The sequence below is a fragment of the Homo sapiens genome, chromosome 8, assembly GCF_000001405.40.
Source record: "Homo sapiens chromosome 8, GRCh38.p14 Primary Assembly".
Lineage (NCBI taxonomy): Eukaryota > Metazoa > Chordata > Mammalia > Primates > Hominidae > Homo > Homo sapiens.
The window spans coordinates 6,523,982-6,537,020 of NC_000008.11; the positions used below are offsets into that span (position 1 = coordinate 6,523,982).

The window sequence follows — 13,039 nt, forward strand, 5'->3', positions numbered from 1 at the left end:
CAGGAAAAGCAGCAACTAAAGATGTTTCAATATCTTCATTTTGTTTGTACAAGGCCAGTAAATAAAGCTTTCAAAATATAGACACTTTTAAAAATAGAAAAACAGTGACCAGATGTCAGATTCCTCTCTCTGACATTTTCCTTCCAATATAAAGTTTAGTACACATGAATTTGCACATTGCAGAGTTTTGTTTTAAAGGAAGGGGACCTCATATTCCCTTTTTTGAGTCCCGTATAAGTCAGCTGTCTTATTTAATAATGAAATATGTCAATGATGGCATCTTTATGTTTCAGAATTATTTTCTGTCTACTAACAAGTTACCACAGCTTCTGTTAATGTCACATTAGAAGCTGGTGAAATATTCTATACATTTCACTAGCTTTTCTGCGAAGGCATATGAAGAGCAGAGAAACATTATTTTCCCACCTGCTTGATAAAGAAACCTTGAACCGGCCATTTAACACTGCTGTGAGTTATCTGAAGCCTCCTGAGTCACTTTGCACTTACTTTCCTAGGAACCGAAAGCATGTGAAATTGACATACACGTTTCACTGAGTGATAGTTGGGTTCAGATCACGTCTTACCTTCCGTTTAACAGAGATGTATTGAACACCTACCATGTACGAGGTGTTTTTTAGGGTTTTGGAGAAAAATCAAGAAATGAAAGCATCATGAACCATAGTCTTAAGCCTGCGGAAATTTAGATGTTTTGATGGTCTTCACATCATCAAGCTAAAAAGACAAGGCTATGAATGTCTCCCTTGAGGAAAAACTACCCTTGTGGCCATGTAAGGTCTGTAAATAGAAGTTATCACAGGGAATACATATGAAGATCATGGTTTCACTGAAGAGAAAATGGAGACCCTGAGAAGTCACCTTTGGTGTCACGAGCACCTTCAGGTGAAAGGAAGTAGCCTTAGGCTGGGAATCCCACCTCTGCACATGGCTTCCTGTGTCACAAGGGCAGACACCCTGCTGTGGACCTCAGGTGCATGTCTGTCTAGGTGAATATCTATCTAAATAAAGCTCTATGTAAAATGAAGGCATTCGATTTCATGGCCTCTCGGGCCCCTTTTAGTTCGAATGATCTGGTAAATCCACCTTTTTTTGACAGTAACATTTTCTGACTCTTTAACCCTGCAAACAATATTAACCAGCCAAGGAACTGGCTACCCATTACATATCTCGCCCATAAGCAATAACAATCAGTATTAATAATAATTATTAGATATTCAATTGTAGCTCTTAAATGTATTCCAGCCCCCTGATCGTTGTAAATTAGTATGTAATTTTGGAGAGATGGGGGTCTGTCTTTGTTGCCCAGGTTGGTATCAAACTCCTAGGTTCAAGCGATCCACCTGCCTCAGCCATCCAAATAGGAGGGATTACAGGTGTGTGCCACCACATCTGGCTAATTTTTGTATTTTTTGTAAAAATGAGTTCTCATTATATTGCCCTGGCTAGTCTCAAACTCCTGGCCTCAAGAAATCCTATCACTCTGGCCTCCCAAAGTGCTGGGATTATAGGCATGAGCCACTGTGCCTGGCTTGAATCTATTCTATAAAGAAAGCAATTGCACTTTTGGGGAATTATAAAAGATTATTTAAAATGTGGTTTGTCCAATGTGAAACACCATTTGCATATTTTTGTAATGATATACTTGCAAATAAAATCATAGGCCAGTCAGAATTAAGGTAGAAAACACAGCATGCAGAACTCATACACCTGTAAAATCATCAACACTATTTTCTTTTTTTATTATTTATAGCTGTTGATGAAAAAAACCTTTTTATTTCCTTTCATATCTGTGACAAAAAAATACGATTTCTACAGCTGATGAGAAAAAGCTTATTCTTCCTACAGGCATAGTTGAAAGCCAATATGATTGGAAAAATATTTGCAAAGATGATATTTGGGGAACATAATTGACCCAAATTGGTAGTTTTAGCATTGTAGCATGCTAAATTTGAAACCCAAGTGGGGAAACAGTATTCAGTATTAGGGTATGTTCTACAAACTGGACATATCCTAGGTTTGTCACGGACATCATTGTATAACAGGCAAGAGAAAAGTAATCTCCAGCTCCCATGTGTTCCAGGAATCACTGCAGCATTTTGAAGAGAACATTACTAAGTAAGACTATTTTAAGAAAACGACGCCAGGTACGGTGGCTCATGCCTGTAATCCCAGCACTTTAGGATGCTGCGGTGGGCAGAAGGCTTAAATTCAGGAGTTTGAGACCAGCCTGGGCAATATGGCAAAACCTTGCCTCTACTAAAAAAAAAAAAAAAAAAAAAAAAAAAATCAGCTGGGTGTGTGACACATGCCTGTAGTCCCAGCTACTCAGGAGGCTGACATGGGAGAATCACCTGAGCCCAGGAGGTTGAGGATGCAGTAAGCTGAGATGGCACCACTGCACTCCAGCCAGGGCAACCAGAGTGAGACCCTGTCTCAAAAAAAAAACACAGAAAAGAAAATGAAATTAGCAGGATTGTTATATCTCAATGATTGGTCTCAAATGTTCATTTACTGTTTGTAGAGGAGAAATCTGAAACATGAAAGAAAAATATTTGAATTTTAAAAATCTATTTGCTTTTCAAAACCCTAAATCAATAATGACTTAAACTTGGTATCCAAAGGACAGAAAGAATTATTTCAGCTTAGTTCTTGATTAACAGTAAAGAACAATTATTGAACAAGAAGTTTATCATTTTTGGTTAAGAATAAAGAATTATTTAAATTGTGAAATAGGATATATTGTTATAGCCATGTTCCATGTTGTATATACATGTCTTCATTAAAAACAAGGAAATAGGCACACCAGGTATGTGCATAAAATTATCCTCTTTTGTCCCAAGTGGAACAGACATATGAAAACAGTCCCCACCTATCCCCTACAATTTTTTTTCTATTGTTGATCTTGAGATTTTTCTATATTTTATTTAAATATTAATATAATCATGTTTAATATTTTTGGTTTTACTTTATCGTGTGTTTGAAGAGGAAACATTGGATCATAAAATGTGCATTGGCTTACAGTATAAGTGTAGCTTTCATACTATAGACCATTCTGCGTTGAGTGAAGCTAAGTCCCCAAGGGCAAAGGATCTTGGTCAAGTTAATACTGAAATAAAATGCCTGGGCCAGTGGTTCTTTCACTCCACAGCACTAGCTGTATTTTTATAATAGATTAGCATGTAGAATACTGAGGCAGGGTTTGGAGGATTACTCTAAGAGGATCTTTTGGGCCAGTGGTTCTTTCACTCCACAGCACTAGCTGTATTTTTATAATAGATTAGCATGCAGAATACTGAGGCAGGGTTTGGAGGATTACTCTAAGAGGATCTTTAAGGGGCCAGGGAATGAAAGGTAAAATCCAGGACTGTGTTAGGAGAGCTGTGCCTGTGCAGGAATTTTCTCCAAGCCCTCTCCCTTCTCCTCCCTCATGAGGTTTCTGACCCTTACACTAGACATGAAGAAACTCACCATTCTGATAATTCATCATTTGAGACCGACTTTCATATCTGGAAAGTGTGCAGTCCTGAATTATAAATGTTTTAGTACTGTTATTACCTGTTCTTATCTTGCAATTTGTTTATTTCACTGGTCTGGTCCAAAATCTGTTTTTCCAATTTGTTTGTCGAGAGGGAGTGTTCCAAGAGCTGAAGTTCAAGTCTCGTGGTCTGATTTAATACCTAAATGTAACAAAATGAAGTTCCTATTAATTATTTTTTAATTAGTTTAACTTTCTAACTTCCTTTTCATTAAAGTACCCAAGCTACAGGAAAACATAACAAAAACATTATTTATTAACCCAAGTATCTTATTTTGGCATATTTTTCATTTTCAGAAAAGGCTCAATGTCTTAGATCACATCTGAGTGTGTTAAACCTTTTTACTCTTTTCCCCACGTCTCTATTTTTTTTTTTTTTGAGATGGAATCTCGCTCCATTGCCCGGGGTGGAGTGCAGTGGCATGATCTCGGCTCACTGCAACCTCCGCCTCCCGGGTTCAAGCAATTCTTCTGCCTCATTCTCCCCAGTAGCTGGGATTACAGGTGCGTACCACCATACCCAGCTAATTTTTTATATTTTTGGTACAGATGGGGTTTCACCATGTTGGCCAGGCTGGTCTGGAACTCCTGACCTCAAGGGATTCACCTGCCTCGGCCTCCCATAGTGCTGGGATTTACAGGCATTAGCCACTGCACCCGGCCGTTATGTCTCTATCTTGGAAAGTGGTTAGTAGTTCTGGACAATGGGGTCTGTGCCAAATACTAAATGTTATTTTTCTAGTCTGCCATATTTTATTTCATACAATGAGACAAGTAGGAGTATAAAATGGTCATATTTCATAGGTGGAAAGTATTTTCCCTTTGCCGAAAACAAAATGCTATTCTCATATTTATTTGTCACTAGACAGAGAGATTGGAAGTCACATGCTTCCATTATATAAAAATATAGATAATTTTTAGCCTGGGATTTCCTCATTTGTCACCACTTGTTTAGACTTTTATTTCTTCTTGCCATTTCTCCTTCCTGTTTTAAAACTTGTTTGAACCAATCGAAGCCGTATAGCGTGAGTGTGAAGCGGAGCCTCAGCCTTGCCGTGCGGGCCTTTGTGAGCTACTGCGTGGCATGAGCAGTGCGGCTCTCCCGCGGATTCTCTAGCGCCTGGTTGCCCTTCAGCAGGAAGAATCGACTACTCACTTCCTCCATGTCATGCTTATTCAGGATGTGATATCACATGCAAATGTCAGTCAGCATTGTTGCCAAGGAACCGGAGACCTTGAAAGAATCATTGTTTGCTGGTGTCTTTATGTCATTTGCAGGAGCCTTGGCTGGTCCACAGCGTGGGTTTCAGGGATGGTCTTATCCTTAGAGCTGGTTTAGTTCTTATCACAAAAAGTCTTCTGTGAGAATAAAGTCCTTGGCCAACGTAAGGTTTTGTTTGGGTTTTAATATTAACACCTGGAATATACATTTGGCCTACGTCTTCTTTGAGTCCAAACATTCTATGTTGGTTATTTCTAAAAGGAACTGGAAAATTGTGTCCTGTTTAATTCATAAGGGTTATAACATGAGTAAAATTCCGTGTGGAGGCAGGGAAGGATGGCATATAAGTCATGATTGGCCCAGTAGTAATTGTAACCATTTTCACATCACTTTTCTGGAGAGCATCAAACCGCTGGACCAGCCTGAAGGCGTCCATCTGCAGGGGACTGTAAATTACCCAGGCCAGGTATTGATCTCTCATTCCCTTTAAGATATGAGACCTCCAGCCACCCATTGTTGCTCAATTTGATCGTCTCTCATTCTGACAGGCTTGGAGAATCTTGCTTCTAATCAGAAATTTTCAGATTTGAATTTAAGTCTGTTTCACAAAATCAGTAACTGCTCAGCAAGTACCTTCAAACAGAGTGGGTACATAATTCAGTTTCTTTGCGGCCTTCCTTAAGCTCAGCCATTTTTCTTTTTTTTTTTTTTTTGAGACAGAGTCTCACTCTGTTGCCCAGGCTGCAGTGCGGTGGCACCATATCTGTTCACTACAGACTCTGCCTCCCAGGCTTAAGCACTTCTTGTAACCTCACTAAGCCTCCCAAGTAACTGGGTCTATAAGTGCACACAAGCACGCCTGGCTAATTTTTTTTTTTTTTTTTTTTTGGTAGAGATGGGGTTTCACCATGTTGCTCAAGCTGGTCTCGGACTCCTGATCTCAAGCGATCCACCCACCTCGGCCTCTCAAAGTGCTAGGATTATAGATCTGAGCAAGCGTGCTCAGCTGGCTCAGCCATTTTCATGTGTTTAATTGGGCTTCACATGGAAAAACTGCTTACTTTCCATCTGTTTTCTTATTTTCCTGTTATCCTGGATAACATGATATCTAGTTTCACAATAGGCGTTTTTTTTTTAAATCATATGACGCAACACAAGTACATCAAATGCTATGAAGTCTCTGACCGCTATAGGATGTAGCAAGGTTTGCATTGCTGCTCTGTCCTAACACTTTTTCATTACTATTATTATTTTTTATTTTTTTAAATTTTTGCCAAGTTCCCATGCTTGGATCTAACTATTATTTTAAAATATAAGAAATGTTGTAGTTTAAAAATGCTTATGAGACATTTTTTGGATGAGCTATTCAATTACCCATCAGTGTTAGTATCAAAAGGTGGGGCATGTGACTTAATCATTACTAATTTATTTTAATAGGTTGGTGCAATTTTGCCATTGAAAGTAATGGTGGCCAGGTACGGTGGCTCACGCCTGTGATCCCAGCAGTTTGGGAGGCCAAGGCAGGTGGATCACCTGAGGTCAGGAGTTCGAGACCAGCCTGGCCAACGTGGTGAAACCCTGTCTCTACTAAAAATACAGAAATTTAGCCAGGTGTGGTAGCCTGCACCTGTAATCCCAGCTACGCGGGAGGCTAAGGCACGAGAATCGCTTGAACCCGGGAGGTGGAGGTTGCAGCAAGTCGAGATCACACCACTGCACTCCAACCTGGGCAATGCAGTGAGACTCTGTCTCAAAAAAAAAAAAAAAAAAAAAAAGTAATGGCAAAATCTGCAGTTACTTTTGGTCCAACCTAATAATTCGCTTTAGATATATATTGATATATTGACTTTTAAATCTTTAGTTTTTATGACTTCCTAAGATTTAAATTTTTAGTACCTTATGATCCGTTATGTAAAATATTTATGTATGTTTTTCTTGAACTGTTGTGATATTGTGGAAAGACCTGGTAGTCAAGTAATTTGTTATTCTATTCTCTTATCTGTAAGTCTTTTGTTAATCTATCATTTCACTACTGTTTTCTCTGACCTCATCCAACCATTTTTAGGAAGACAATGAAAGAACAGCTGTGTCCTTCTAGAATGAGTCTTACGAGAGTGGCAGGGCTTATGGCATCTCCCCTCTCATGTCCTCTCCTGGCTGACGTCTAGCATTTCTTGATCCTTTTTGCTGAAGTAGCATTTAGGAATAATATGGAGTGGGGATTGTTTCACTTAAATCTGCTCTTTTTTTAAAAGTATTCCTTATAGCCCAGAGTAGGAAGCCACTGACTTCAGAAGCATGTAAAGAAGCCAGGATGAGGAGTCAGAAAGCGGGCTTGGCCGCCGAGAGTCACGACCACGGCCTTGAGCTTGGAGCGTCTGCATTTGTACTGCTAATAGCAGCTTTTCCCTTTCCCACCCAGGCCGTTCGCTGGGTCACATGTTGTGCATCATTTAGCATGTCTCTCGGTGAATTTTCTTCTTTTGAAATTTTCCTATTTTGCTGTTATTTTACTAGTTTCTTTCTTTCTTTCTTTCTTTTTTTTTTTTTGAGTTGAAGTCTCACTCTGTTGCCCAGGCTGGAGTGCAGTGGCACGATCTCAACTCACTGCAGCCTCTGCCTCCTGGGTTGAAGCAATTCTCCTGCCTCAGCCTCCCAAGTAGCTGGGATTGCAGATGCCCGCCACCACACCTGGCTAATTTGTTTGTATTTTTTAGTAGAGACGGGTTTTCGCCATGTTGGCCAGGCTGGTCTCGAACTCCTGACCTCAGGTGATCCACCCATCTCGGCCTCCCAAAGTGCTGGAATTACAGGCGTGAGCTACTGCGCCTGGCCACTAGTTGACTATTTCAGTCTTCTTTCTGTTATTATTAATCACTAGCTCATAGAATCTCACAGTGGAAAGAGAACTTAGCAATCACTTGTCTGGCCCAACCCTTTATATTATTTGAGGCCCAGAAAAGGTGAGTGCCTCATTGTGATGCATTTATTTGGTTAGTGGCGGACCTGGAGCCATGGCAGCGCTCAGGGCTCTTGCTCGGGCGTAGCACCATCTTTTCTGTGGCTAGACGCTTCTCACTGTCCCACTTGTCTCCTTCTCCATAAACTCATTCCACAGGCTGTGTTAGCTGTTGAGATTCAGGTTTTATCTTAACTCAAGAGTTAGATTTAAGGCCAGAGTTTCTAGCTCTTTGCCTCAGTGCTTTTCATTTCTCAAATGTTCAAAGACTTTAGGACTTAGAAATGGAAAATGATTCCCGGAGTCCAGAAAGCACCAGGGAGACAGAGGGGGTATTCATCTTGCAGTGGTTGGGATGCGTGGCATGAAAATGACTCACATGTCTTCAGTAGATAGAACACATGAAATTTAACCTCAGTATTAAAAACAAAAACAGATTTACTGATTTTTAATTCATAAGCAGCCATACATCCTTAATTTCTTATCAATTCATTCCTTTTCTCCTGTGGTGGTGCTTTCTTTAGTTTCTCATGCCTTCATTGAGGAAGCTCCTGACGCGACTGAGTGCTAGTCTCTAGCTGCAGGGACACCGTGTGCTTTATGTGGCATTACTTACTTGGGCTTCCACATCAGTTAACTTCCGCGTTTGCTCCGCTGTTTGGTTCAACAGGTTTGTCCCTATTTCTATCATCACAGCCGTCTGGTTCTGTACTGCATTCTGCTGTATCTCTACCATTTCTTTCTTCATGTTGTCCTGGATATAATTCTCAAGCTAGAAAAGAACAGTGTTAGAAGGCAGTCATTAGTCAAATGACCGGAAACCTGATTCCTAAATGTTTGTCGTCTCCTCCCTATCTTTAAAAAAAAAAAAAAAAAATCTATCAAAAGACTTGTACCTTGCCTTCCTTTTGGAATCTTACTATTTTTTTTTATCATTAGGAAAATACAGTGTGATTTTATTTTTATGCAAAATCTGGCAACTTAGTCACATCATGTAAAGGAGGGAGACAAGCTACTGGTTGCTTCTGTGTTCTTCTAGAAGTCCATGTCATGGCAGGCCACAGAGGGTGGTGAGGGCAGCCACAGGGACTGCTGGGTGCGGCCACTGTGGGGTTGTGTCTGTCCTACCCAGCTGCAACTCTGACCATGCAGTCAGGAAATGATAATTTGACACAAAGAAGCATCACTATTTCTCTCACATTCTAGACTTTTGGTTTCTCCACATAGACTTGAGAAGACACTCTAAGACAGCATATAAGGAGAGGAGCACCCTTTTGATTTTCCTTTTAACCTACGGAATCACCACTCAGTTCCACATTCTGTGGGGTCTTCCCCACCTTCCTCCGTATTGAGTTAATTCGACCTATTAAATTTTTCCTAACATGTATGCATTTTTCACAATTTTGTCATTTCATGTATCAAGCAAACTTTTAATCGCACCTTGGTCCATTTATCACCTAACGTGCCATGGGCTGGTTCTTCTCTCCCTCAGTTACTAAAGATGATGATCATGCTGACTAATTTTAGCATTAACTGAAACACAAGAGAAGGAAGAAGCTCATTTCACTGCCATTGGTATAGCTATCCCTGTCTATGGCAGTAAAATTACATGATTATGTATAACTGCAAGACAACTGAGTACGTGGGAAGAGCCTTTGGGCTTGGAGCCAGGGAAGCCTGCCCTCTGCTTTATAGTCTTGGTTCTAGGAAAGTTGCTTAACCTTTTGGGACCCTAGTTTCCTCATATGTAAAATAGGGTTTCTGGTTGGTCAGAGGAGTGTCTTAAAGAGGGGTTAAGCTGTGCTTTTAAAGTCATTGTGTATGCGTAACTCCAGATACTTAGCGTTTAGTTTCTTTTTTTTTTTTTTTTTTTTTTTAAATAATCTAATGATGGGAACCATTCTTCCATTCCCTGGTCCAAAGTATAAGCTCGTGAGTGCACAAACCATGTTTTCTTCCTTTTCACATAGTGTAACAAACATTGTTTATTACATTGAATAATTGAAAGATGATTATAAAACTGGTTCTGGTGCCCTCCTTTAAAAACTTAGAATTCTTTATAGAGAAACCATTCGTGGAGTCAGTCATCAGACATGATTTCCCCCAAAATGTTAACCACTAAATAATTCTGTGCTTTCTGTCTTTAAGAGTAGGAAAATAGGATGGGAAGGGTAGAGTTTCTCTCTTAGAGCTTCTTTGTTGATGCATTTCATAGATTGTGTCTTGTGACTGGTATCAGATGGTTTTAGGATTAGGCTGGAACTATAAGTTTCCTGTTTCCGATGCCCCCTCGCCATCGACTCTGCCCCACTTCTCTAAGCTCCCAGCTCCCTGCATGCCCCTCAGCCTGGTCACTAAGGCTGCCTCCCTGGCAGTCGTTCTCCCGTGGATATTGGATGGGTCAGATGAGCAGGATGCATGAGAGGCACAGTCAGCCCTCCATCTGTGGCCTCCACATCTACGGGTTCAACCACACCATCAATATATTTTAAAAAAAAAATAACAATACAACAATAAAAAACAAAAATTGTAAAACAATACAGTATAGCAACTATTTACATGGCATTGACATTGTGTTAGGTATTCTAAGCAACCTCGAGATGATTTAGAGTATACGAGAGGATGTGTATAGGTTATATGCAGATCTACCCTGTTTTACGGAAGAGGCTTGAGCACCGTGGATTTTGGTATTCTCGGGAATCTTGGAATCAGTCCCCCACAGACATCAAGGGACAGTTGTACTAGAGCTCCAAGCATGTGTAAAATCATTTTGTTGAAATGTTACTCAAGCCATCCACCCGCCTCAGCCCCCCAAAGTGCTGGGACTACGAGCGTGAGCCAGCACATCTGGCTGAAGCCTTAGTTTTCCATATGAACCAAAACAGAGTAGACCACTACTTTAAAAAATTAAAGTATTAAAAAATTTTTAAAAATTTAAAAAAATAAAAAATCAGTCACTGATACCCGGCAGGCCAGCAACCATCTCTATTATAGGCTTCATAAAATGTGAAGAGTCTGAAATCTTACTAACCGTTTCTCAGAGTTAGCTCAGGCTTTTTAGTGTGTGTGATCTTTCTTAATTCATTCTTTCTCCTTCCTCCCCTGCCTTTATAAAACTGTAACTTTTGTGATTGAAATAAACTATTTAAAAGAAGCCATAAATAGCAGTTCGTAATTCTCCCCTCCGCTCATCGCCATGGGAGTAATGGAATTTTTGAGGTTGCAGTTAAAGCTGTGTGTCACCCAGAGGCACTGTCTTAGTTACTCCTCACAGCACCCCAGCCAAGATAATATTTAAAAAGTTTCATTCCGGGAGGCTTGGAACTATAGAGATAGACTCCAGCTGGAGTTTAGTTTAAGCCCATACTCAGAAATAATAATTTACAAAGTGGTATAAATAAAAAGTCTTAACCTCCTTCTTGATTTCAGTACTTAAGAGCTAAATAAAAATTATTGTATTTTGTCACTCTAAATCATACAACCAGAGAGGGAAAATGAATCCTCTAATACTGCCTTCCCCCATTTCTAGAGCTACTGAGTCAGATGTGTTTGCAACTCTCCAGAGATATGAGAGGATTGTTTATAATTGAAAACTTAAAGTCAAATTCCAATTTGAAATTAAACTTAGGAACTTTGAAAGACATACAGGCCCAATTTTAAAAAATAAAATTTCTTAACCTGCCATATTGTTTTCTAAACATAAAAACAATAGAATGCAAGATCCTTTTTAAATTGCTACTTTTTAGCTATTCAGGATGACTAAGTATAGGTTCACAGTGGGTGAGCTAATGTGTGTCCATTTATGTTAATCTTACATAAAAGCAGATTACAAATACACATGATGTGTGTATATACAGATAGGTATATAGCATATATGTATATAGTGTCTATAAATATATACAGCTCTTGAAGCATGTATCATTTAAATAAAAGAAAATTCTGTGTGATACTGACTGCATTGCTAATTAATTGAAGTCTTTGGGAGAAGAATGGAACAGAACCAAAAATGTGCAGTAGTAGATATTTTGTGTTGATTTAAAAAGATATTTGAGCCAGTCGTGATGGCTCATGCCTGTAATCCCAGCACTTTGGGAGGCCGAGGCAGGAGGATTGCTTGCTCTCAGGAGTTTGAGACCAGGCTGAGTAACATGGTGAAACCCATCTCTACAAAAAATACAAAAAAAAAAAAAAATTAGCTTGGCCTGGTAGTGCGAGCCTGTAGTCTCAGGTACTGGGGAGGCTGAGGTGGGAGGACTGCTTGAGCCCAGGAGAGCAAGGCTGCAGTGAGCCATGATCGTGCCACTGCACTGCAGCTTGGGCGACAGAGTGAGACCTTGTCTCAAAAAAAGAAAAAAATTAAAATTAAAAGTAAAAATACTTATGTTCTTACTCTTGAAGTCATTAAATTAAGGTTTTAAGAGAAATATATGATGTGACAGTCAGGTACTCTTTAAAAACAAGGAAGAATACTGTATATTTAGCCCCAGAAACACTAGCGACAGGAACAGCCACAGTAATGGTAGGTACTGTTTCTTGGTTGCCGGCACTGCCTGTGCTGTATGGGAATCGCTGTGTCGGGATCCCAGGCGCCTCACATCAGCACAGGTGGATGCAGGGCTGAGCACTGGAATGACCCTCAGCAAAATGTTAGCTCAACCCAGAGGCCGCTTCATACTTTTCCAGCCTTTTAAGAGCCAAAGTGATATATCTCAAAATTGGCTTGAGTATGCCTTCCAATTCCAGGCTTCACAATGCCTTAAGAAAACAGACAGACCACCCACCCCTCAGTGGAGGGCCATTTTTACCACCAGAAAAGCCCAGAATTAAAGATGACCAATGCCAATTCTATCTTCTGGGAGCATCCTGACAAAAGAATCTGTGTTTTCTTCCAAAGATTAGTAGTAATTTTTAGAGGTACAGAAAGACTATGGATGTCCATCATATAGTATAAAAATGAACATTTCCAAATAAAGATGTCCCATTTAATGTAGCCTTTCCATAAATCACCACGTATCAAGGATAATGAGAACAAACCTAGAAACAAAGCCATCTGGCTCATCCACTTGGATAGACAGACCTTGAAATTTCCCTGTCTCTTGACCTTGATGAATTAGTTATTTTCTAGTTTATTGTCCTAGAATGTCTTTCTGTTTAGTGTCTCTCTTATTTTTACTGGCTGTGACTGAAACCCAGAAATATAGAAACCTGCCCAGAAATATGAAATTCCATTCTAAGTATAAGGAAGTCTTAGTACAAGAAAAAAAAAAAAAAAAAACCAACCCAGTAAATAAGCCATCCTCCACTG

At 39.8% G+C, this 13,039-nt stretch overlaps 2 protein-coding genes across 19 annotated transcripts in view, besides 1 other annotated feature; one reads left to right on the forward strand and one right to left on the reverse strand.

The window, feature by feature from the left end:
• The window catches only part of MCPH1 (microcephalin 1), a 241,882-nt gene that overhangs the window by 117,355 nt on the left and 111,488 nt on the right, over positions 1–13,039 (forward strand). The gene's annotated exons all lie outside the window — the stretch shown is intronic.
• Positions 1–13,039, reverse strand: part of ANGPT2 (angiopoietin 2) — a 63,614-nt gene that overhangs the window by 24,350 nt on the left and 26,225 nt on the right. For 4 of the 6 annotated variants that reach the window (NM_001386337.1, NM_001118887.2, NM_001386336.1 and 1 more), the window contains exons 2-3: positions 8,351–8,506; positions 3,574–3,695 (exon numbers count right to left, since the gene is read on the reverse strand). In NM_001386337.1, coding sequence (NP_001373266.1) covers positions 3,574–3,695; positions 8,351–8,506 — 278 coding nt within the window. The remainder of the gene's footprint in view (positions 1–3,573; positions 3,696–8,350; positions 8,507–13,039) is intronic. The other 2 variants (NM_001386335.1, NM_001118888.2) reach the window with 1 other exon arrangement.
• Positions 4,218–5,417: an enhancer, noted in NCBI's record as "BRD4-independent group 4 enhancer chr8:6385720-6386919 (GRCh37/hg19 assembly coordinates)". NCBI's record gives its function as "activates an origin of replication core promoter dependent on BRD2, P300/CBP, MED14 and CDK7 cofactors, and independent of BRD4, by STARR-seq in HCT116 cells {active_cell/tissue: HCT116}" and the evidence as "EXISTENCE:reporter gene assay evidence [ECO:0000049][PMID:35650434]".